This window comes from Homo sapiens, chromosome 19, assembly GCF_000001405.40.
Source record: "Homo sapiens chromosome 19, GRCh38.p14 Primary Assembly".
In the NCBI taxonomy this organism is placed as follows: domain Eukaryota; kingdom Metazoa; phylum Chordata; class Mammalia; order Primates; family Hominidae; genus Homo; species Homo sapiens.
In genome coordinates, this window is record NC_000019.10 from 52,797,408 (window position 1) to 52,822,758 (window position 25,351).

Below are 25,351 nucleotides of genomic sequence, written 5' to 3' on the forward strand. Positions count from 1 at the left end.
TCAGAAAGAAAGAAGTCAAATTTTATTTGTTTGTAGATGACATGATCTGTGAAGAAAATCACAGTCAACCAAAATACAACTGGAACTAATAAACATATTCAGTGTATTTGCAGAATAGAATAATAGCACCAAAAATTAGTTGAATTTCCATACATTAACATTAAATAATTTTAAAATAAAATTAAAAACCACTTCCATTTGCTAAAGAGCTTAAAGTAAGAAATATTTAGGAATAAACATATAAAGGTGAGAAGTTTGTACCTTGAAATCTACAAACATTGATCAAAATGATTAAAAACATATAAATACACATACAATCCATACTGATTGGAAAAATTAGTATTGCTCAATGATTATATAACCGAATGTGATTTAGATTCAACACAATACTCATAGAAATCCCCATAACTTTTTGTTAAAGAAACAAAAAACAGGCCAGTCACGGTGGCTCACGCCCATAATCTCAGCACTTCGGGAGGTAGAGGTGGGTGAATCATAAGATCAGAAAATCGAGACCATCCAGGCTAACACAGCGAAACCCAGTCTCTACTAAAAATACAAAAAATTATCCAGGTGTGGTGGCATGCACCTGTAGTCCCAGCTAGTCAGGAGACTGAGGCAGGAGGATCGCTTGAACCTGGGAGGCGGAGGTTGTAGTGAGTCAAGATCATGCCACTGCACTCCAACCTGGATGACAGAGCAAGAGACTCCATCTCAAAAACAAAAACAAAAAAAAGAAAAAAGAAAGAAAGAATAGAAATGAAAACACAGGCTGGGAAAAGTGGCTCCCGTCTGTTGGCCAGGCTGTTCTCAAACTCTTAACCTCCAGTGACCTACCAGTCTTGGCCTCTCAAAGTGCTGGCATTGCAGGCGTGAGCCACAGTGCCCAGCCCAGTCCTCTTAACATAAACAGTTTAATGTCAATTAATGCTTAAACTCAATGTTAAGTCAACTCAAACTCAGGTCAGTGCTCATTTAACTGTAATGTCAATTAATGCTTGATGGCTTGCTATACTAATGGCATTTGAAACAACTGTCTCCAAAAGGAATTGTCTGATGGTCTGCAAGGAGTGATCTCGGACTGAAGACCTTACCACACTGATGACATTTGTAAGATTTCTGTCCAGCATGGATTCTCTGATGTCTATTGAGGTGTGAATGTGAAGTAAACGCTTTGCCACAATCATCACACTTGTGAGTTTCTCTCCTGTATGAATCCTCCTATGTTTTGCATAGGATGAAACTTGACTGAAGACCTTGCCACAATCATGACATTTATAAGGTTTCTCTCCAGCATGAGTTCGATGATGAATAGCAATATATGAACGATATCTGAAAAATCTGTCACATTTATTACACTTGTAAGATCTCTCATTATGGATTCTCCAATGATTTGCAATGGTTGTAGCATTACTGAAAACTTTGTGACAATCATTATATTAGTCAAGTTTCCCTATACTATGGATTGCTTGATGGTGAATAAGTGGTGACTGCCCACTAAAGGCTTTGCCACACTCATTGCACTTGTAAGGTTTCTCTCCAGTGTGAATTCTAGTATGGTGTGCCAGGTGTGAATCACTCCCAAAAGCCTTGTTACAAACCTTACATTTGTATGTTTTTTCTCCAGTATGAATTCTCCTGTCTTTCAAGCTGTGATTTGTGACTGACAACTTTGTCACAGTCTTCACATTTGTAAGATTTCTCTGCAGTATGAAGACTATGATGACTTGCAAGGTGTGACTGTTGATTAAAAACTATGCCACATTCATTACACTTGTAGGGTTTCTCTCCAATACGAATTGCCTTTTGAATTACAAGGTATGAATTTTGACCAAAGGTGTTGCCACACTCATCACATTTGTAAGGTTTCTCTCCAGTTTGAATTCTAATATGTTTTGCCAGGTATGAATTATATTCAAAAATCTTGTCATAAACCTTACATCTGTGTGGTTTCTCTTCAGCATGCATTTTCTTATGTGTTTCAAGGTTTGATTTGCAACCGAAAACTTTGTCACATTCTTCCTATTTGTAAAGTTTCTCTGCAGTATGAATTCTATGATGACGTGCAAGGGTTGTTTTTTGATTAAAAACCTTGCCACATTCATTACACTTGTAAAGTTTCTCTCCAGTATGAATGGCTTTGTGACTTACAAGGGTTGAATTGTGATGGAAGGTGTTGCCACACTCATTACACTTTTAAGGTTTCTCTCCACTATGAAGTCTATGATGGTATACAAGGTTTGACATCTGACTGAAGGTCTTGCCACACTCATTACACTTTCAAGGTTTCTCTCCACTATGAAGTCTATGATGGTATACAAGGTTTGACATCTGACTGAAGGTCTTGCCACACTCATTACACTTGTAAGGTTTCTCTCCAGTATGAACTCTCTGATGCTGTGCAAGGTGTGCTTGTTGATTAAAAACCTTGCCACATTCATTACACTTGTAAGGTTTCTCTCCACTATGAAGCCTATGATGGTATACGAGGGATGACATCTGACTGAAGGTCTTGCCACACTCATTACACTTGTAAGGTTTCTCTCCAGTATGAAGCCTACGATGGATTATAAGCGATGATGTCTGACGGAAGGTCTTGCCACACTCATTACACTTGTAAGGTTTCTCTCCAGTATGAACTCTCTGATGTTGTGCCAGGTGTGAATCCCTCCGGAAAGCCTTGTCACAAACCTTACATTTGTACGGTTTCTCTCCAGTATGAATCCTCCTATGTCTTTCCATGTGTGATTTGCGACTGAAAACTTTCTCACATTCTTCACATTTGTACGGTTTCTCTGCAGTATGAAGTTTATGATGACATGCAAGGTTTGCTTTTGTACTAAAAACCTTGCCACATTCATTACACATGTATGGTTTCTCTCCAGTATGAACTCTCTGATGTTCTGTAAGGCATGAATCACTCCGGAAAGCCTTGTCACAAACCTTACATTTGTATGGTTTCTCTCCAGTATGAATCCTCCTATGTCTTTCAAGGTGTGATTTGCACCTGAAAACTTTGTCACATTCTTCACATTTGTATGGTTTCTCTGCAGTATGAAGTCTATGATGGCGTGCAAGAGTTGATTGTTGATTAAAAACCTTGCCACATTCATTACACTTGTAAGGCTTCTCTCCAGTGTGAATTATACTATGTTTTGCCAGGTATGAATTATATGCAAAAGCCTTGTCACAAACCTTACATTTGTATGGTTTCTCTCCAGTATGAATCCTCTTATGTCTTTCAAGATGTGATTTGCGACTGAAAACTTTTTCACATTCTTCACATTCATAAGGTTTCTCTCCAGTATGAAGCCTACGATGGCGTGCAAGGGTTGACAGTCGATTAAAAACCTTGCCACATTCATTACACTTGTAAGGTTTCTCTCCAGTGTGAATTATAGTATGTTTTGCTAGGTATGAATTACATGTGAAAGCTTTGTCACAAACCTTACATTTGTATGGTTTCCCTCCAGTATAAATTATCTTATGTGTTTCAAGGTGTGATTTGCGACTGAAAACTTTGTCACATTCTTCACATTCATAAGGTTTGTCTGCAGTATGAAGCGCCTTGTGAAGGAAGAGGGATGTATTGTGACCAAAGATCTTGCCACACTCATTACACTTGTAAGGTTTCTCATCAATGTGAGATCTACGATGGCATGCAAGGTATCGCTTCTGATTAAATACCTTGCCATATACATCACATTTACATTGTTTCTCTTCTAAGTGGGTTATCTGATGTTTTTTTAAAAGTGAGCTACAATTAAAGGATTTGCCACTCTCAATACATTGGAAAGATTTTTCTCTCATGTGTACATTCCGTTTTTGTGTGAGTAATGAAGAATGGAGGGAATTATTTCCATACTTATTAGAAATATGGGTTTTGGGCCTACAACAAATTCTTTGGGATGTTGAAACTGAGGAAGCATTGTTGATAGACTTCTCAACTTGATTACCAATTTTCCCTTCAGGCTGAAATATGTGCAGTTCAGGCAGATGCGAATGAAAGCTTAATCCAAGCTGATCTTTAATATGCTTGTTTCCAGCATGCCTTTGATCATGTTGGCCTGTACTACCAGTCAACTCTTTGATTTCTGTCATGGGTGCTGCATGGTCATTTGTTTCATCTTCTTTCCACTGAAACTGGAAGCCATGAATGTCTTTCTCAATTTTCTGGAAGCAAAAATCTCCAATGTGATGACTTGCTTGTCTTTGCAATGTCCCTGTGTGGAACGCTTCTGTATTGCCTTGCCCTGTTGAGAAGAATGTCTTCATCATGCATTTGGAAGAGATATCTACAAAATATAAACACCAATAGGTTTCCAATGAAGTACAGATGGTGTATAATACTGAAATGTGTAAATATGACACAAAAAACAATACTTATTTTAAACTTCCCAAACATGATCTTCAAAGTTTAAGAACACAAAAGGAGTAAGATTCTTTAATAAATAAAGGGCGATTATATGTCTTTCAAATCAATTCCATGAAAGTCTATTTCCTATATCATGACAAAACACTGACAGGGCACAAACATGTGTGAGCCTAAAGTAAGGAGTGTTTTTCCACTGTGACCCTAAAGTGTATCACACTTTGCAAAAAACACATCACTATCACATCAAAAAAAGAAAAATATATATTCTTCATATTTACAGCGTATTTAGTGTATACAAATAAATGCTAAAGAACCACACAATATACTATATTGGTAAATAATCCAAAACAAGCTGTTGTAAGGATAACCAAAATCAATGGAAATTCTGTATTGTCAAACAATCATAGCACTGACAAGATAACAAAAGATTATAAAAATTAGCCAGGTATGGTGGCCCGTGCCTGTACTCACAGCTACTCTGAAGGCTGTGTCACAAGAATTGCGTTAAGCCAAAGGCAAAGGTTGCTGTAAGCCAATATTACACCACTGCACTCCAGCCCAGGTGACAAAATGAGCCTCCATCTCAAAAAAACAAAAAAACAAACAACAAAAAAAGGCAGGGCATGGTGGCTCATGCCTGTAATCCCAGTACTTCTAGAGGGCAAGGCAGGCAGATCACCTCACGTCAGGAGTTTGACCAGCCTGGCCAATGTGGCAAAACCCCATCTGTACTGAAAATACAAAAAGTAGCTGGCATGGTCACAGGTGCCTGTAATCCCAGCTACTTGGGAGGCTGAGTCAGGATAATCGCTTGAACTTGGGAGGCAAAGATTGTGGTGAGTTGAGATCGCACCACTGCACTCCACCCTGGATGACAGAGTGAGACTCCATCTCAAAAAAAGGAAAATGTTAATACCATATTTTTCCAAATAACTGTTACAAAATTACCTATATCCATGTGGAACAGGCACGTTGTGACTTTTTTTTTTTTTTTTTGCGACGAAATCTTGCTCTGTCGCCCAGGCTGGAGTGCAGTGGCATGATCTCGGCTCACTGCAAGCTCCACCTCCCGGGTTCACGCCATTCTCCTGCCTCAGCCTCCCCAGCAGCTTGGACTACAGGCACACACCGCCATGTCCAGCTAACTTTTTTGTATTTTTAGTAGAGACAGGGTTTCACTGTGTTAGCCAGGATGGTCTCGATCTCCTGACCTTGTGATCCCCTTGCCTCAGCCTCCCAAAGTGCTGGGATTATAGGCATGAGCCACCGCACACGGCCGACTTTTAAAAAAAATTTTATGTATTTTTATTTTTTTGAGATACAGTGTCACTCTGTCACCCAGGCTGGAGTGCAATGGTATGATCTTGGCTCAATGCAACCTCTGCCTTGGGGTTCATGTGAGTCTCTTCCTTAGGTTCTGAGCACCTGGGAATGCAGGCACATGCCACTGTGCCCGGCTAATTTTTGTATTTTTAGTAGAGATGGGGTTTGGTGAAACCTGTTGGCCAGGCTGGTCTCGAACTCCTGACCTCAGATGATCCACACATCTCAGCCTCCCAAGACCTGGGATTACAGGCATGAGCCACTGCACCCTGTGGCACTTTGTGACATTATCTAGGGGAGTGTCAGTTATATTGCATACCACATACCGAAAACTCACATATAAAGTCATAAAAATCAATTAATCAAATATTGCAACCCATGATAAAACAAGCAAGAAAATAACAAGTAGATTTATACAGACTGAAGAATTCTAAACAATTCCCTCTTAAGAAAAAAGCCAAAACTTGTACTTACCACCAGCACACAACATAAGAACTGAAATAGATGTTAAGATCACTACTTTCTGATATATGAGGTCAAGAAAGTATACAGCATTATAAAGAATGAGAATTGACTAACAGCCAGGCACGGTGGCGCATGCCTGTAATCCCAGCACTTTGGTAGGCTGAGGCAGGTAAATCAGGAGTTCGAGACCAGCCTGGGCAACATGGTGAAACCCCATCTCTACTAAAAATACAAAAAAATTAGCTGGGTGTGGTGGAGGGTGCCTGTAATCCCAGGTACTTGGTAGTCTGAGGCAGAAAACATTTGTACCCAGAAGGTGAAGGTTGCAGTGAGCTGAGATCATGCCACTGCATTCCAGCCTGGGCAACAGGATGAGACTCCATCTCAAAAAAATAAAATAAGATAAATAACTACTTCTCAAATAAGCTTTGGTAGATGTGGTATTCTCTAATAGGATGTTCCTGCAGATGCAGACCTTGAGAGAATTTAGCATGGGTGTCGACTACTCATGAATAGGACTAGTGCATTTATAGAGACATTAAAGAGCGTGTTGCCTGTTCCTCTTTTCACTGTATTAGGACACAGCAGGAATATGGCTGGTCTAAAGCATGAAGAAGGCTGTCACCAGGAACCAATTTGGCTGGCACCTTGCTCTTGGATTTCCCACTTTCCAAATTCATGAGAAATCAATGTCTTTGTCTTAAGCCTCCCAGTTTAAGCAATTTCCTTTTTTGTTTGTTTTTGAGATGGAGTCATGCTCTATCACCCAGGCTGGAGTGTAGTGGCATGATTCTCCTACCTCAAGTGATTCTCCCTCCTCAGCCCAGTCTTACTCTGTCTCCCGGTCTGGAGTAGAGTAGCGTGATCTTGGCGCACTGCAACCTCCACCTCCTGGGTTCCAGTGATTCTCCTGCCTCAACCTCCCAAGTAGCTGGGATTACAGGCGCACGCCACCATACACAGCTAATTTTTGCATTTTTAGTAGAGACAGGGTTTCACCATATTGGCCAGGCTTGTCTCAAACTCGTGACCTCAAGTGATCAACCGATCGCAGTCTCCCAAAGTGCCAGGATTACAGGTGTGAGCCACTGCACCTAGCCCATTTTTGGCATTTAGTAAATTCGAGGTTTCACCATGTTGGCCAGACTGGTCTCAAACTCCTGACCTCAAGCGATCTACCCACCTTGGTCTCTGAAAGTGCTGGGATTAGAAAAGTGAGACATCACAGCTGGCCAGTCTAAGCTATTTCTAACAGGACAGTGAAATGACAGAGACAGGAGAAAGAGCATCTCATCATCAACATCACCAAAGGCTGACAAATCTTATTAAACAAAGGAAGTTAAGAGTCTGTACTGTAAAACTTGCAATACTTGAAGCCATCTAATAGCACTAACATGTTTTAAAAAACTTGAGACAGGCCAGGTGCGGTGGCTCATGCCAGTAATCCCAGCATTTTGGGAGGCTGAGGTGGGAGGATCACAAGGTCAGGAGATTGAGACCATCCTGCCTAACAAGCTGAAATTCTGTCTCTACTAAAAAAATACAAAAAATTAGCCCGCGGTGTTGGCACTCACCTGTAGTCCCAGCTACTTGGAAGGCTGAGGCAGGAGAATTGCTTGAACCTGGGAAGTGGAGGTTGCAGTGAGCCGAGGTGACACCACTGCACTTTAGCCTGGGTGACAGACCGAAAATCTGTCTCAAAGAAAAAAAAAAAAGAAATGAAAGAAGGCTAAAGAGTAACTCCAACCCACAAGCATATATAAAGTTCTCCAGGCCTGGTGTGGTGGTTCACGCCAATAATCCCAGCACTTTGGGAGGCTGAGGCTGGCAGATCACCAGGTCAGGAGATTGAGACTATCCTGGCCAACCAACATGGTGGAACCCCATCTCTACTAAAAATACAAAACTTAGCTGGGTGTAGTGGTGCACACTTGTAGTTGCAGCTACTCGGGAGGCTGAGGAAGGAGAATTGCTTGAACCCAGAAGGTGGAGGTTGCAGTGAGCAGAGATCACACCACTGCACTCCGGCCTGGGCGACAGAGTGAGACTCCATCTCAAAAATAATAATAATAAAAATAAATAAATAAATAAATAAATAAAGTTCTCCAGTAAAGGTAGTAAAAACAGATAGGCCAAGCATCGTGGTTCATGCCTGTAATCCCAACACTTTGGGAGGATGAGCTGGGCAGATCACCTGAGGTCAGGAGTTCGAGTCCAGCCTGGCCAACAAAAAGAAACAGTCTCTACTAAAAATACAAAATTAGATGGGTGTGGTGGTGCATATCTGTAATCCCAGCTTCTCAGGGGCCTGAGGCAGGAGAATCGGTTGTACCCGAGAGGCAGAGGTTGCAGTGAGCTGAGATCGCAGCATCGTACTTCAGCCTGGGTGACAACAGCAAAACTCAGTCTCATAAATACATAAAGTAATTAATTAATAAAAGGACAGATACAGAAACTGGCATATGTATACCTTCATAACTAAACTTTTTTCATATTTAAAATAAAAGGCATGAAAAACACTGTACATATATGTTAACAAAAATGCAACATACACAGAAATAATTCTGACAAATAAAAAAATGTTCTAGTGGAGAAGAAGAAGTCATTTTTGCAGGTTACAGAATTTTTTTTTTCTTCTTTTGAAACAGAGTTTCACTCTGTCTCCCATGCTGGAGTGCAACGGTGCGATCTCGGCTCACTGCAACCTCTGCCTTCCAGATTCAAGTGGCTCTCCTGCCTCAGCCTCCTGAGTAGCTTGGATTACAGCCACCCACCACGGCGCCTGGCTAATTTTTGTAACTTTAGTAGAGACGAAGTTTCAACATGTTAACCAGGCTAGTTTTGAACTCCTGACTTCAGGTGATATGCCCATCTCAGCCTCTCAAAGTGCTGGGATTACAGGTGTCAGCCACTGCACACGTCCAGGTTATGGTAATTTTAAGTTTCTTTATTATGCTATAACTTTAATATGTTTAACATACCTGCAACAATAACCTCTGCCCAAATATCTAAAGAACTACAAGACAAAACTATTTAAAATAATAACAATGGTTAGGCATGGCAGCTCATGCCTACGGTCCCAGTGTTTTGGGAATCTGAGGCAAGTGGGTCACTTGAGATCAGAAGTTTGAAACCAGCCTGGCCAACATGGTGAAACACTGTCTCTACTAAAAACACAAAAATTAGCTGGGCATGGTGGTGAGCGCCTGCAGTTCCAGCTACTCAGGAATCTGGGGCATAAGCATCCTTTGAGCCCAGGAGGCAGAGGCTGCAGTTAGCCAAGATCGTACCAGTGCACTGTAGCCTGGGCAACAGAGTGAGACTCTGTCATAAAAAAAGAGAGAAAGAAAGAATAGAAAGAAAGAGCAGAGAGATAAGCGGGGGCAAAGAAAGATATCTTTTCAGAGATGTGAGGATTTAAACTTTTCTTTTGCCACAGAATTCTCCCACTTGCAGAGAGTTTCCCCACACACTATTTGAAGGTGGAGCTTCCACTCTGCCCATCTGAGCTCTTACCTGCGTTTGCACCTGTAATACATTCCCACCCATCTGGATTTTTTTGTTATTTTCACTTAACTCTCCACAGTCCAGGGCTCTTTCCCTTGCTCCAACATGGAGACAGCAGGTCAGAAAGAGACTCCTGCTTATAAAAAGAAAGGACCATAACATGCTGGAGCTTTTCTAGAGTCCCAGCCCTATGTTTCTGTAGGAAAGAAGACATTACAGATGAATCTAGGAAAATATTTCACAAATTCCTCCACTGACTGCCTCATTCTGAATGCTTGGGGAGCACTGTAATATGTAGTATGTGGACATCGAGCTCTCTTCCAAGAACTACAGAATCGAAAGCACAGGAGAAGCAAACAGGGAACTGGATATCTTTAAAGTCTGCCATAAGGTTTGTTTTTGTCTTTGTTTTTTGAGACAGAGTCTTGCTCTGTCGTCCGGGCTGGAGTGCAGTGGTGTGTTCTCAGCTCAATGCAAAACTTGGCCTCCTGGGTTCAAGTAATTCTCTTTCCTCAGCCTCTCTAGGAGCTGGGATTACACATATGCATCACCATGCCCGGCTAACTTTTGTATTTTTAGTACAGACAGGGTTTCTGCATGTTGGCCATGCTGGTTTTGAACTCCTCACCCATAGCGATCCACACGCCTTGGCCTCCCAAGGTGCTGGGATAACAGGCGTGAGCCACCACGACCAGGCTGCCATAAAGTTTTATGCCTACTTTACTTCTGGAAGCTCCACTGAGCTATCATGAAGAATGCAGAACCTCTAAACAAAGGGGACAGTGAAAGTCCAGATGCTACATCATGAAGCTTTTCATTTCAAAATCAATACGGCTTCCATTTTAGTCAAGTAAGGATGTGGCTCCCAAGAGGCAACAAGAGAAAATACAAAGATACACAAGGGCACATCCCCAGGAGGTTATCCTCACCCAGGGAGACCAGGTTCCTATAATTCTCCAGCATCACATCCCTGTAAAGAGTCCTCTGAGCAGGGTCCAGGCATTTCCACTCCTCCTGAGAGAATTCTATGGCCACGTCCCTGAATGTCAATAGACCCTGAAATGGAAACACATTTTAACCAAATGGTTATGGTGGAGTTCTTATCTTTACAGAAAATGACAAGAGAGGGGGAAAGCATGGATTTAGTTGTAGTGAATGTTCTCACAAATCCGAGTGACGGATTTTTCACCACATGATGTTTTTATTATACTTTTTGAAGTGATCAAGACACACTTTCAGTATGAAATTCCTAAGTTTGTGAAAAATTCAAGAAATAAATAAAAAATCAGTGTTGGATTCCTGTTATAAAAATGTTTGAAACTTTTATAGACACACCAAGTGACATTCATTATCTAGATGAGAGAGAGCATGACTGATGTCTTAAAAGATGACAATGTCCACAGTAAGAGACAGGCTGGGCACAGTGACACATGTCTGTAATCCCAGCTACGCAGGAGGCTGAGGCAGAATTGCCTGATCCTGGGAGGCAGAGGTTGCAGAGATCCCAGACAGTGTCACTGCACTCCAGCCTGGGCAACAGAAACTCCATCTCAAAAAAAAAAAAATTAAAAAAAAAAACAAAAAACATTAGCTGGACCTGGTGGCAGGCACCTGCGGTCCCAGCTACTTGGAAGGCTAAGGAGGGAGGATGGCTTGACCCTGAGGGTGGAGGTTGCAGTGAGCTGTGATCCCACCAGGGCACTCAAGCCTGGGCAACAAACCGAGACCCCATCTCAAAATAAAATAAAATACGTGAAAACAAAATTACTCAAAGTACAAAAATCAATTGTGTTTCTAAATTTTCACAAAATAATAAAACCTAGAGACTCACAAAACACTAGATGTGAATACAAAGGGTTGTCATTTGTCCCAGATTTTCAAAATATAAAAGATTTTCAAAATATATACAGATGTGTGTATATATGTATTTGTATGTATATGTGTGTGCATGTGTGTGGGGATATATATGTACATATATGAAGTTTTAAAAAATATAAAAAGTAGCAAGTTTTGTTTAACTGAAGAGGAATCTCATCTTGCTGGAAAAGGACACTTGGGCAGTTGCGGGCAGGGGGAATCTTGTCAGATCTAAGAAAATGGAAATGCCCCATCCTAGAAGAAGCAATCACCCTTTCAACTGCCTGACCTGGAGGAATGTTCAGATATCTGTAGTAATGCGGACGTGCACAGAGGCAGCCACTATGGCACTCTTTATACAGGGAAAAGTTGCAAAGGACACATGTGTTGTCATTCAGCCAATTTCCAATGCAGATGTCAAAGAGCAAGCTAGCCATGTTTACTAACATGACAACATGTAAATTCACAACTAGCAGGATGAAATATCGAACTAAAATATTTACTGGAACACAAAGAAGAAAATAGACACTGGCGTCTACTTGAGGGTGGAGGGTGGGAGGAAGGAGAGAAACAGAAAACATAACTATTATGGGCCTGGCGCGGTGGCTCACGCCTGTAATCCCAGCACTTTAAGAGGTCAAGGCGGGTGAATAACCAGGTCAAGAGTTCAAGACCAGCATGGCCAAGATAATGAAAGCCCTTCTCTACTAAAAATACAAAAAATAGCCAGACGTGGTGTTGGCTGCCTGTAATCTCAGCTACTCGAGAGGCTGAGGCAGCAAAACGCTTTAACCCAGGAGGAGGGGGTTGCAGTGAGCTGAGATCATGCCACTTCACTGCAGCCTGGGTGACAGAGCGAAAAAAAAGGAGCCCAGTCTGAGCGGCGAAGGCGGCGGCGGCGGCGGTGGCGGTGGTGGCAGTAGCACTGGGCCTGCGGGCGGTCCGGGATCCAGGCCGGGGCGGCGCCATCTTGTGCCCGGGGCCGGTGGGGAGGCCGGGGAGGTTGCCCCGGGGGGCGCAGGGGACGATGGGAACGGCCTGGAGTCTGAGGAACTGGAGCCTGAGGAGCTGCTGTTGGAGCCGGAGCCCGAAGAGGAGCCGCTCCAGCCCCGCGCCCCATGCCTGGGAGCTCCAGGACCTGGGCCTCGTTCAGGAGCCACCGGCAGCCAAGAGGAGGGGGAGGAGCCGGGACTGGTCGAGGGTGACCCGGGGCTGGAAGCTATCGAAGCTGGAGTCAGGGAGGTGGAGGAAGAAGCTGAGAAGCTAAAGGAGCTACAGAACGACGTAGAGAAGCAGAGGAATATGAGTCTACCTCCAGGCAATGCTGGCCCAGTGATCACGTCCATTGAGGAGAAGATGGAGGCTGATGCCCGTTCCATCAATGCTGGCAATGTGGACTGCGGTGCAACAGCAGAAGAGCTGGAAGCTCACTTTCATGGCTGTGGTTCAGTCAACCACGTTACCATACTCTGTGACAAATTTAGTGGCCATCCCAAAGGGTTTGCATATATAGAGTTCTCAAAGAGTCAGTGAGGACTTCCTTGGCCTTGGATGAGTCCCTATTTAGAGGAAGGCAAATCAAGGTGATCCCAAAGCGAACCAACAGACCAGGCATCAGCACAACAGACCGGGGTCTTCCACGAGCCCGCTACCGCGCCCGACCACCAACTACAGCAGTTCCTGCTCTCCATTCTACAGTGGTTTTAACAGCAGGCTCTGGGGTCGCGTCTACAGGGGCCGGGCTAGAGCGACATCACGGTATTCCCCTTACTAAAAAAAATGTGTATTAGGAGAGAGAGGAAAAAAAGAGGAAAGAAGGGGAAAAAAAAAGAATAAAAAAAAACCCAAAAAAAACAGAAGATGACCTTGATGGAAAAAAATATATATATATTTTTAAAAAAAGAGTCCCTCTCCCTCTCCCTCTCCCCCTCCCCCTCCCCCTCCCCCTCCCCCTCCCCCTCCCCCTCCCTCTCCCTCTCCCTCCACAGTCTCCCTCTGATGCCGAGCCAAAGCTGGACGGTACTGCTGCCATCTCGGCTCACTGCAACCTCCCTGCCTGATTCTCCTGCCTCAGCCTGCCGAGTGCCTGCGATTGCAGGCACGCGCCGCCACGCCTGACTGGTTTTCGTTTTTTTTTTTGGTGGAGACGGGGTTTCGCTGTGTTGGCTGGGCTGGTCTCCAGCTCCTAACCACGAGTGATCCGCCAGCCTCGGCCTCCCGAGGTGCCGGGATTGCAGATGGAGTCTCGTTCACTCAGTGCTCAATGGTGCCCAGGCTGGAGTGCAGCGGCGTGATCTCGGCTCACTACAACCTCCACCTCCCAGCCGCCTGCCTTGGCCTCCCAAAGAGCCGAGATTGCAGCCTCTGCCCGGCCGCCACCCCGTCTGGGAAGTGAGGAGCGACTCTGCCTGGCCGCCCATTGTCTGGGATGTGAGGAGCCCCTCTGCCTGGCTGCCCAGTCTGGAAAGTGAGGAGCGTCTCTGCCCGGCCGCCATCCCATCTAGGAAGCGAGGAGCGCCTCTTCCCCGCCGCCATCCCATCTAGGAAGTGAGGAGCGTCTCTGCCCGGCCGCCCATCGTCTGAGATGTGGGGAGCACCTCTGCCCCACCGCCCTGTCTGGGATGTGAGGAGCGCCTCTGCTGGGCCGCAACCCTGTCTGGGAGGTGAGGAGCGTCTCTGCCCGGCCGCCCCGTCTGAGAAGTGAGGAAACCCTCTGCCTGGCAACCGCCCCGTCTGAGAAGTGAGGAGCCCCTCCGTCCGGCAACCACCCCGTCTGGGAAGTGAGGAGCGTCTCCGCCCGGCAGCCGCCCCGTCCGGGAGGGAGGTCGGGGGGGTCAGCCCCCCGCCCGGCCAGCCGCCCCGTCCGGGAGGTGAGGGGCTCCTCTGCCCGGCCGCCCCTACTGGGAAGTGAGGACCCCTCTGCCCGGCCAGCCGCCCCGTCCGGGAGGGAGGTGGGGGGGACAGCCCCCCGCCCGGCCAGCCGCCCTATCCAGGAGGTGAGGGGCGCCTCTGCCCGGCCGCCCCTACTGGGAAGTGAGGAGCCCCTCTGCCTGGCCAGCCGCCCCGTCCGGGAGGGAGGTGGGGGGGACAGCCCCCCGCCCGGCCAGCCGCCCTATCCAGGAGGTGAGGGGCGCCTCTGCCCGGCCGCCCCTACTGGGAAGTGAGGAGCCCCTCTGCCTGGCCAGCCGCCCCGTCCGGGAGGGTGGTGGGGGGGTCAGCCCCCCGCCCGGCCAGCCGCCCCATCTGGGAGGTGAGGGGCGCTTCTGCCCGGCCGCCCCTACTGGGAAGTGAGGAGCCCCTCTGCCCGGCCACGACCCCGTCTGGGAGGTGTGCCCAGCGGCTCATTGAGAACGGGCCATGATGACAATGGCGGTTTTGTGGAATAGAAAGGCGGGAAGGGTGGGGAAGAAATTGAGAAATCGGATGATTGCCGGGTCTGTGTGGATAGAAGTAGACATGGGAGACTTTTCATTTTGTTCTGTACTAAGAAAAATACTTCTGCCTTGGGATCCTGTTGATCTGTGACCTTATCCCCAACCCTGTGCTCTCTGAAACATGTGCTGTGTCCACTCAGGGTTAAATGGATTAAGGGCGGTGCAAGATGTGCTTTGTTAAACAGATGCTTGAAGGCAGCATGCTCCTTAAGAGTCATCACCACTCCCTAATCTCAAGTACCCAGGGACACAAACACTGCGGAAGGCCGCAGGGACCTCTGCCTAGGAAAACCAGAGACCTTTGTTCACTTGTTTATCTGCTGACCTTCCCTCCACTATTGTCCTATGACCCTGCCAAATCCCCCTCTGCGAGAAACACCCAAGAATGATCAATAAAAAAAAAAAAAAAAAAAAAAAAAGTTTTAAGTGTGCTGTGTAGAGAGTGGCATGCTTGGATGACATAAACTGGGCAAGCCTTTGAGGAAATGCATCACCCTGATTACTATAGTTTTAAGGCTACTTAAAAGGTCCCTATGTCCAAAGAATACCCTCTCTGCTCACTGGATAGCAGGTGAAATTCCACAATCTGAGCTTCAATCCTTGAGGTTAATGCTTAGTAATAAAGTTAAACTAAACTATCACCCAATTTAAGCAATTTATACATTGTGAAAAGAGAACAATGCAACTCAGATGAAATTTTCCTAAATCTCCAGTTGTGGTAATCTTGGTTAATGCTTTATTGTCACTATACCAATACTTTTGCATGTATTTAAAATGACGCTACTCATAGTAATTGCTTATCTGCTCAGTGGAGCAATTTAGGACTACCCAGCAGTCTTTTAAAACCTTGGCATTTATGAAGATTAAAAACTTGAATGGTGAAAAAAAAAAAAAAAAAAAAAAGACATACTGTGGAAGGACAGAGAATCCCTAACAAACTGCTGAGGAGGGACCTGTTTTGGGGAGCAGGGGAAGGCCCAGGGAGTGGGGCAGGGGGCGGCTTATTCACTCTGGGGATTCGCCATGGACACGTCTCAACAGTGCAAGCTGCTCCCCGTGTTTCCCTGCCCCACTTCGCCCCCGTAGGGGCTGCTCCAGGGTAGGCGGGCGGGGGTGGTAGGAGGTTTTTTTTTTTACCCAGGGCTCTGGAAGGACACCAGACTGTTCGGCTTGTCACCTTCCCTCCGTCTTCTCCTCACCTTTCACAGTCCCCTCCTGCCTGCTCCTGTCCCTCCAGGTCTACCACCCACCCCACCCCTCTTCTCTGGCCCCCTGCCCCTCCAGATTGCCTGGTGATCTATTTTGTTTCCTTTTGTGTTTCTTTTTCTGTGTTGAGTGTCTTTGTTTACAGGTTTCTGCAGCCAGAAGATCTCCGTTCCGCTCCCAGCAGCTCCACTGTAAATTCCCCTTCCCCATGGGGAAATGCACTACCTTGTTTTGGGGGGTTTAGAGGTGTTTCTGTTTTTCAGTTTTTTGTTTTGTTTTGTCTTCCTTTGCCTTTTTTCCCTTTTATTTGGAGGGAATAGGAGGAAGTGGGAACAGGGAGGTGGGAGATGGACTCTGTTTATTTTTTTAAGCTCATTTCCAGGGGTGGGAATTTTTTTTAATATGTGTCATGAATAAAGTTGTTTTTGAAAATAAAAATTGTTTGGACTTTTACAAAAAAGAAAAAACTTTTTTAAGTTACTACAGAATTTCTTCTAAAGCCTCATAATGCTGCAGAAATACACGTGTACAAGACTTGCTCTGACACCTGGCACAGAACTGACAGTAACGGCTCCCCAGGGAGGCTGGAAGGAGGATGGAGGACGTGACAGGGAAAGGAGATGCTTTATGGCCAAGGGTCTAAGCTGCAGCTTTCTTGGAGCGTTACCACCAAACAAATATACACATCGTGTGATGTTTAAATATAACCATATATATTTAATAACAATTGGTGGGGCTGGGCATGATGGCTCGTGTCTGTAATCCCAGCATTCTGTGAGGCTGAAGCAGGCGGATCACCTGAGGTCAGGAGTTCAAGACCAGCATGGCCAAAATGGTGAAACACCGTCTCTCCTAAAAATACAAAAAAAATTAGCCACGGGTGATGGCACGTGACTATAATCCCAGCTACTTAGGAGGCTAAAACAGGAGAATCACTTGAACCTGGGAGGCAGAGGCTGCAGTGATCCGACATCACACCACTGCATTCCAGCCTGGACAACCGAGACTTTGTCTCAAAAAGAAAAAAAAAAGCTGGGCGAGGTGGCTCACGCCTGTGATTTCAAAACTTTGGGAGGCTGAGGTGGGCAGATCACGAGGTTAGGAAATGAAAACCATCCTGGCTAAAAAGGTGAAACCCCATCACTACTGAAAATACCAAAAAATTATCTGGACATGGTGGCACTCGCTTGTATTCCCAGTTACTCAGGAGCCTGAGGCAGGAGACTCGCTTGAACCAGGAAGGCAGAGGCTACAGTGAGCCAAGATCACACCACTGCGCTCCAGCCTGGGCAACAGAGCCAGACCTTGTCTCAAAATAAAATAAATATATGAAAACAGAATTACTCAAAGTACGAAAATCTTTTTTTGCATATATATGCCCCAAAAATAATAAAACCTTCAAAGACTCACAAGAAATTAGATGTTAATAACAAAGTGGTCATTTTCCCCAGACTTTCAAAGTATACATGTGTGTATATATGTATGTATATGTATAGATATGTGTGTATGTGTGTGTATATATATATTTATATATATATATAAAGGTTTTTAAAATATAAAAAGTAGCAAGATTTGTTTAACCGAAGAGGAATCTTGCCTTGGTGGAAAGGATACTTTGGCAGTGGGAGGAAGGAGAGGAGCAGAAAAAATAACTATTGGGCCCGGGCACAGTGGCTCACACCTGTAATCTCAGCACTTTGGGAGGCTGAGGCTGCTGGATCACCTGAAGACAGGAGTTCAACATCAGCCTGGCCAACATGGTGAAACTCTTGTCTCTATTAAAAATACAAAAATTAGCCAGGTATAGTGGCAAGCACCTGTAGTCCCAGCTACTCGAGAGTCTGAAGCAGGAGACACACTTGAACCCGGGAGGTAGAGGTTGCAGTGAGCCGAGATCATGCCATAATACTCCAGTCTGGGCAACAAGATCATAACTCAGTCTCAAAAAAATAAATAAAAAAAATAACTGTCTGGGCGTGGTGGCTCACGCCTGTAATCCCAGCACTTTGGGAGGCCGAGGCGGGCGAATCATGAGGTCAGGAGATCGAGACCATCCTGGCTACCACAATGAAACCCCATCTCTACTAAAAATACAAAAAAATTAGCTGGGTGTGGTGGCAGGTGCCTGTGGTCCCAGCTACTCGGGAGGCTGAGGCAGGAGAATGGTGTGAACCCAGGAGGCGGAGCTTGCAGTGAGCCGAGATTGCACCACTGCACTCCAGCCTGGGCGACAGAGCGAGGCTCCATCTCAAAAAAAATAAATAACTATCGTGTACTGGCCTTGACAACGGTGTGATGAAATAATTGGTACAACAAACTCCAATGACGTGAGTTTGCCTCTGTAACAAACCTTCACATGTAGCCCCAAACGTAAAGTAAAAAAAAATACATAAAAATTTTTCTTTAATTTACAACAGAATTTTTTTTAAAGTCTCATAATGATGCAGAAATACACGTGTACGAGACTCGCTCTGACAGCTAACACAGAACTGACAATAGTGGCTCGCCAGTGAGGCTGGAAGGAGGGTGGAGGATGTGACAGGGAAAGGAGATGCCTTATGGCAAAGGGTCTAAGCTGCAGCTTTGCTTGGAGTTTTACCACAAAATATATACATCATGTGATGTTTACATATAACCATTTATATTCAATAATAATTGTTGGGGCTGGGCATGGTGGCTTGCACCTGTAATCCCAACACTCTTGGGGGCTGAGGCAGGCAGACCACCTGAGGTTAGGAGTTCGAGGCCAGCCTGGCCAACATGGTGAAACCCTGTTTCTACTAAAAATACAAAAAAATTAGCCAGGCAAGCCGGGCGCGGTGGCTCAAGCCTGTAATCCCAGCACTTTGGGAGGCTGAGGTGGGAGGATAACGAGGTCAGGAGATTGAGACCATCCTGGCTAACACGGTGAAACCCCGTCTCTACTAAAAACACAAAAAATTAGCTAGGCATGGTGGCGGGTGCCTGTAGTCCCAGCTACTTGGGAGGCTGAGGCAGGAGAATGGCATGAACCCAGGAGGCAGAGCTTGCAGTGAGCCAAGATCATACCAAAGCACTCCACCCTGGGTGACAGAGTGAAAACATCATCTCAAAAAAAGAAAAAAAAAATTAGTTGGGGATGGTGGCGCGCACCTATAATCCCAGCTACTAGGTGGGTTGAGACAGAGAATCGCTTCAACCTGGGAGACAGAGGTTGTAGTAAGCTGAGATCATGCCACTGCACTGCAGCCTGGGCAACAAAGCAAGACTCCGTTTCAGAAAATAATAATAATAATAATAATAATAATAATAATAATAAAACGTGGAATGAGAATACAGCTTTATCCTCTTAGATAAAAAAGCAGTACTCTCCAATATTAGAGAAAAATTGCAACCACTTTTACCAAAAACACCTGTTTCACAAGCCTCTCCACAGTAACACCATAGTCTCCGTGAGCTCGATGTGTTAAGAATGGTTGAATGACTCTCCTGCTATTATTTACATTGATTTCATGTTCTTAAAATAATGAAGGAATAGGCCAGGAACGGTGGCTCACGCTTGTAATCCCAGCACTTTAGGAAGCCAAAGTAGGCGGATCGCCTGAGGTCGGGAGTTTGAGACCAGCCTGATCAACATGGAGAAACCTCGTCTCTACTAAAAATACAAAATTAGCTGAGCATGGTGGCGCATGCTTGTAATGCCAGCTACTCGGGAGGCTGAGGCAGGAGAATCTCTTGAACCCAGGAGGCGGAGGTTGCGGTGAGCTGAGATCACGCCATTGCACTCCAGCCTGGATAACAAGAGTGAAACTCCGCTTCAAAAAAAATAATAATAATGAAGGAATCATTAATGTATTATTCATCTATGTATGAACATTCCATTCTAATTAGTAAGATTTTTGGAGTCAGAAACACAGGAACTCACTCAATTACCTAAAAATGTGGTATAAAATCAGGGAGAAAAGATTTTCCCTTATTGGTCTCCTTTTCTAGAATTGACCACGTACTTTGTGCACATTAATACTTGACTCCCATTGGCAGCTGCTCTAATCCTGGTCCACAGAGAGCTGACAGTGCATCCAGATGTGGCCCCTGAACAAACCCTGCTGCCCAACAGCACTGACACCACGGGACCCTCACCCCGTCTCCATCCATGTCTGGGTGTGAGACCTTCCCAGGACCATGCCCAGTGCAGCCTCTCCCATGTTCATGTCACTGGGTCACCAGAGATGGAATCTAAGCGAGATGAGATGAACTGAAGGAAGGCATGGGTGAGGGTGAGCAAACATATCAGGCAGGACACTTCAGACTCAGAGAAGACTCCCAACTCCAAGGCCCAGCGTTTCTGAAAGGAAGGAGACAGAGCAATCCACCGAGAATACCATCTCACCTGAGGAAGAGCCATCCCTGACTCCTTTGCTTTCCTCTTCCTCTTCTGGGTTTCTTCCTCACGTACCAAGATTCTTTAGAAGTCAATCCTGAATGTTAAAAATATGTTGTTTATTGCTCAGAATCAACACATCCCCTCCCTGTAACACAACAACACATACAAAGGAGACTTCACCTTGAGGAAATATGGTCCCCTATGCTGCCTACCGCACCACGAACAAAAAATTCCTACAGGAAAACTCCCACTCTACTCCTGGAGAAGCCCACACACACGCTGCAGCAGTGGGGAGCTGGGCTGGGATGAGCTCCCCTTCAGGAAATCTCTACCATAAATACAAAAACTTAGCCAGATATGGTGGTGCGCATCTGTGTGTCTGTGGTCCCAGCTACTTAGGAAGCTGAGGTGGAAGGATCACTTGAGCTCAGAAGTTCGAGACCAGCCTGGCCAACATGGAGAAACCCTCTCTCTACTAAAAATATAAAAATTGGGCTGGGCTCAGTGGCTCATGCCTGTAATACCAACACTCTGAAAGGCCGAGGTGGGTGGATTACTTGAGGTCAGGAGTTCAAGAGCAGCCTGGCCAACATGGTGAAACCCTGTCTCTACTAAAAATACAAAAAGTAGCCGGGCTTGATGCGCATCTGTAATCCCAGCTACTCAGGAGGCTGAGGTAGAATTGCTTGAACCTGGAAGGTGGAGGTTGCAGTGACCCAAGATCGCGCCACTCCACTCCTGCCTGGGTGACAGAGTAAGACTCAAAAATAAAAAAATACAAATACAAATACAAAAATTAGCAGGGTGTGGTGGCACACACCTGTAATCTTAGCTACTTGGGAGGCTGAGGCACAAGAATCACTTGAACCCAGGAGATACAGGTTGCAGTGAGCCAAGATCACAAGACTGCACTCATAGCCTGGAGGACAGAATGAGAGTCTGTTTGGGAAAAAAAAAAAAAAAAAAAGTGCATTTCTGATGGGACTGACACAGAGATAAGAAGACTTGAGTAATGTGATAGACACTGATGGGCAGAGGGAACTTCAGATGGGGGTGGGAGGGCATGGGAGACAGCTCTGAGCCTAGATCTGAAGGAGAAAGGGACAGTGCCATCTTCATTTAGAAACATTGAATAAGAACAGGGACAACAACCTGAGACAGGAAGGATTTTGATGTTTGAAAAAAGAGAAAAGCAAATGTGACTGGGGCAGAGGGAGTCAGATGAGGGTAAGCTCCCAGGAGGAGGCTGGACACTGGCAGGGACCCTGAACACAGGGCTGTGGAGCCAAAGTGAAGAGTTGGGCTTTTGTCCTGGGGAACACGGGAAGCAGGTGGAGGGTTCCCTGCCAGGCACTGACATGACCTGCTTTAGATGTAGCTGTGATATTCTAATACAGACAAAGTCCTCCGAAGATGGTCTCTCTTTCTGAGTCTACCACTCTCTTTCTTCCATTCTATTGCTTTTTTTTTTCATTTTTGGGGTACTGCATCCCACTGAAAATTCTAATTACAACTGGGCACTCCCCTCTACCAGAAAAAAAGCCACACCCAGACACCCACTCTATTTTGCCAATCATTTCAGTGGCCAGGGTCACTCGGGTTGAGCTTTTCTGGTCTAGCCCCTCATCTCCAAGTTGCAGGGGAGGCTCACTGGGGCTCAGAGCTGGAAACATTTTCACGAAGTTACCCTGAGAAGGTCTGAGATGAGTGAGAAGGTGTGCCTGAATTCTTACATGGGGGCCTGGAAGGGCTAATGGGATGGACTGGTCTTATCATCCCATCCTTAAAATTAGAGAAGCATCTTTCACATGCCTGGGTTAAAGAAAATTCTTTTGAAAGGTTCTGATGAAATTGACTCCCAACATTGAATTCTTCCTTACAAGAAAATCACACTAACATTTATAAAATGCAGCAGTGTAAACACACAGCTCTTGACCTTGAAAACAGGGTCAACTGTAGAACTAAGACATAAGCAAATTATTTCAATCAAGAATACATGGGTGGACAGCTGAGGTGGTTCACACCTGTAATTCCAGCACTTTGGGAGGTGGAGGTGGGTGGATTACCTGAGGTCAGGAGTTTGAGACCAACCTGGCCAACATGGTGAAACCCTATCTCTACTAGAAATACAAAAATTAGCTGGGCTCCATCCTTGCAACTTATTTAACCTCTTTTTTTTTTTTTTTTTTTTGAGACGGAGTCTCGCTCTGTCGTCCAGGCCGGACTGCGGACTGCAGTGGCGCAATCTCGGCTCACTGCAAGCTCTGCTTCCCGGGTTCACGCCATTCTCCTGCCTCAGCCTCCCGAGTAGCTGGGACTACAGGCGCCCGCCACCGCGCCCGGCTAATTTTTTGTATTTTTAGTAGAGACGGGGTTTCACCTTGTTAGCCAGGATGGTCTCGATCTCCTGACCTCATGATCCACCCGCCTCGGCCTCCCAAAGTGCTGGGATTACAGGCGTGAGCCACCGCGCCCGGCCCTTATTTAACCTCTTGTTGGTCCTTCTCCCCAATCTTTAGATCGTCCTCAATCTCCATAGATTTCCACCTCTTCTCCCCTCTCTGCTCTCCCTGTTAAATTCTCTCTTCTCTGTTATAACCCCCTGGACCCAGTCTGGCACCCCAGATCCCCAGGTGTCCTCCCCGCTGTGCTTCTCCCTCTGTTCTCCTTGCCACCAGCACCACTCTGCTCTGTCTGACCCGGCTCCACATCCCTCCTCCTCTCCCTCACTCTGATGAGCCTCCACATTTCTGCCCCTCTCCCTACCTTGCTGTCTGTCCTTCATCTCTCTGTACATCTAGCTTTTCTCTACATTTCTCCAGTTGCTTTTCTCCTCCTGCTTTCTTATCTTTTATCACTTTTGCTGTCTCTTGGCAAATCCCTCACCATCCTCTACTTTGCCATCTGTTATGGGTCTTTCTCATTCTTCTTTTCTCTGTCTCAGGTTTTCTACTGCTCTCTTAGTCCCTCTCTCTGTCTCCTGATCCCTTTGGCCCACACGATCACACGAGGGTTTGGAGTAAGACACCTGCATCTCGGAGAAGCGCATTTTCCCAGAGCTGGAGCTGGGCGGGCAAGAACACCCCGCGTCACAGGACAAGCCCCAGGCACCTCTCCAACGCGGGCTCAGGGGAAGCGGTGACTGCGGAGGGGAGATCTGGGGAGCAGCAGGGCCCAGCAAGAGGAGGAGGGAGGTGGGGAGCGACGACGCCTTCGGACAAGGGTGGGATCCGCAGGATCCCAGGACCACAGAACGCAGCCTTCCCGGGACTGGGGTCGCCGCGCTGTGCTCCAGGAACCCAGGAGGATGAGGCTGGGAGGCGCACAGGGTGGGAATACACCTCTAGGGTGAGGACTTTAAAAAGAGCCGTGCGGAAGGAGTCAAAAAAAGGTTTTGAGCAGGAAAACTACGAGATAGGAAGTGTATACATTGCCCTGTAGCAGAAAGACCCGGGACGGGACCAGCCTCAGGGCGACTTTAAACCTAAAAAGAAGGGGCTTCCGGACTCCCAGTAGAACATCTCCATTTGCTCTGAGTGAACGAAGAAAGGGGAGAACTTCCAGGTCTAGGGGGACCCCACATCCCATGTACAGAAGTGCCGGGGACCTGGGAAGCTCAGACTTAACACCACACAGAGCAAAACTCACCGCCCGCCGCGGCGTCACCGTCATTCCACGGGATCCGCTTCCTGGTCTGCGCGAATCTGCGCGCGCAGGACAGAAACCAGGCCTGGGTGGAGCCAACGAGGAGGCGAGCGGGGCCCGGGTGAGGTGTGGGCGGGGCGCGAAGCGGCGAGACCTTGCCCTTTAGAACCCGCAGAGGGCGGGGCCGGAGCGGGACCTGTGAGTCTCAGCCTCCTCCCAGGCCATGTTCTCAGGCTTTTGAACCCGGGAGATACAGCTTGCATTGGGCCGAGATCGAGCCACTGCACACCAGCCTGGGCAACAGAGCCAGACTCCGTCTCTAAAAAAAAATAAAAAAATAAAAAAATAATAAAAAAAAAATTTGCTTGTGCGAGACAGGGATACAACATTACTCTTTTCCGTGTGGATATCCAGTTAGTTGTCCCAGCACATTTGTAAAAGAGATCTATTACTTTCTCCTTTTTATTTACATTTTTTTCTTTTCTTTTTCCCTTTTTTTTTTTTTTTTTTTTGAGGCTATTTCTCTGTCGCCCTGGCTGGAGTGCAGTGGCGAGATCTTGACTCACTGCAGCCTCTGCCTCCTGGGTTGAAGCGATTCTTCTGCCTCAGCCTCCGGAGTAGCTGGCACTACAGGCACACCCACCATGCCCGGTTAATTTTTGTATTTTGTGTAGAGACAGGATTTCGCCATGTTGGACAGGCTGGTCTCGAACTCCTGACTTCAAGTGATCCGACTGCCTTGGCCTCCCCAAGTGCTGGGATTACAGGCCTGAGCCACTGTGCCTGGCCCAGGAAATACTCTTTACTTTGCTTTTTAAATGTTGAGAAAATACAACTGAAAACTAAAAAATCTTCCCCGAAATGAGAAATCATCTTCATGACAAAACAGGAAGAAATAAGAACTATTCTATTAATGAATAAGCCTTAGACCAGAATGTGTTGGGAAATAGAGGCAAACAGCTAAGAGGTTGAAAAGAGAGAAAGAAACTTCATTGTTCTATGCAACCCGTTAAGTACATGTTTTCAAGATAAACACTAATCAGTCCTCAGGGAAGATTAGTTGACAACAGCCTTGGTCGCACATAGTTCATCCTGGCTGTACTTGGTAATGGAGGTGACTATCTGTGTCAGCTAGTTAGCTTCATGCAGAGAGAGGGGAATTACTTTAACCCACGT

At 46.0% G+C, this 25,351-nt stretch overlaps 2 protein-coding genes and 1 pseudogene across 11 annotated transcripts in view, besides 1 other annotated feature; 1 reads left to right on the forward strand and 2 right to left on the reverse strand.

Moving 5' to 3' along the window:
* ZNF28 (zinc finger protein 28) lies at positions 1-24,226 on the reverse strand. 10 transcript variants are annotated; one of them, NR_163139.1, is made up of 6 exons: positions 24,179-24,226; positions 20,537-20,624; positions 12,840-13,086; positions 10,600-10,726; positions 7,738-7,855; positions 1-4,295 (listed from the first exon to the last, which is right to left on the reverse strand). NR_163139.1 is itself a non-coding variant. In NM_001369766.1 (5 exons), the coding sequence occupies exons 2-5, from the start codon at positions 20,549-20,551 to the stop codon at positions 4,166-4,168; spliced, it is 348 nt and encodes a 115-aa protein (NP_001356695.1). In that variant the 5' UTR covers positions 20,552-20,624; positions 24,179-24,226; the 3' UTR covers positions 1-4,165. The 10 variants fall into 10 exon arrangements, 9 of the variants coding, with proteins under 9 accessions (NP_001356695.1, NP_001356690.1, NP_001356694.1 ...); NM_001369766.1 differs by lacking the exon at positions 12,840-13,086 and having other exon boundaries at positions 1-4,253; NM_001369761.1 differs by lacking the exon at positions 12,840-13,086.
* Positions 1-25,351, reverse strand: part of ZNF600 (zinc finger protein 600) — a 69,482-nt gene that overhangs the window by 33,244 nt on the left and 10,887 nt on the right. The gene's annotated exons all lie outside the window — the stretch shown is intronic.
* Positions 12,736-16,619, forward strand: PABPN1P2 (PABPN1 pseudogene 2; annotated as a pseudogene).
* Positions 24,171-24,672: an enhancer, noted in NCBI's record as "H3K27ac hESC enhancer chr19:53324831-53325332 (GRCh37/hg19 assembly coordinates)". NCBI's record gives its function as "activates a minimal SCP1, AML or CMV promoter by ChIP-STARR-seq in naive H9 embryonic stem cells {active_cell/tissue: H9 hESC(naive)}" and the evidence as "EXISTENCE:reporter gene assay evidence [ECO:0000049][PMID:30033119]".

Coding starts and splice junctions, on each gene's coding strand:
- ZNF28 (NM_006969.5), bottom strand. Junction 4,296..10,599: donor TAGGAACCTGGTCTCCCTGG/GTGAGGATAACC, acceptor TATATTTTGTAG/ATATCTCTTCCAAATGCATG.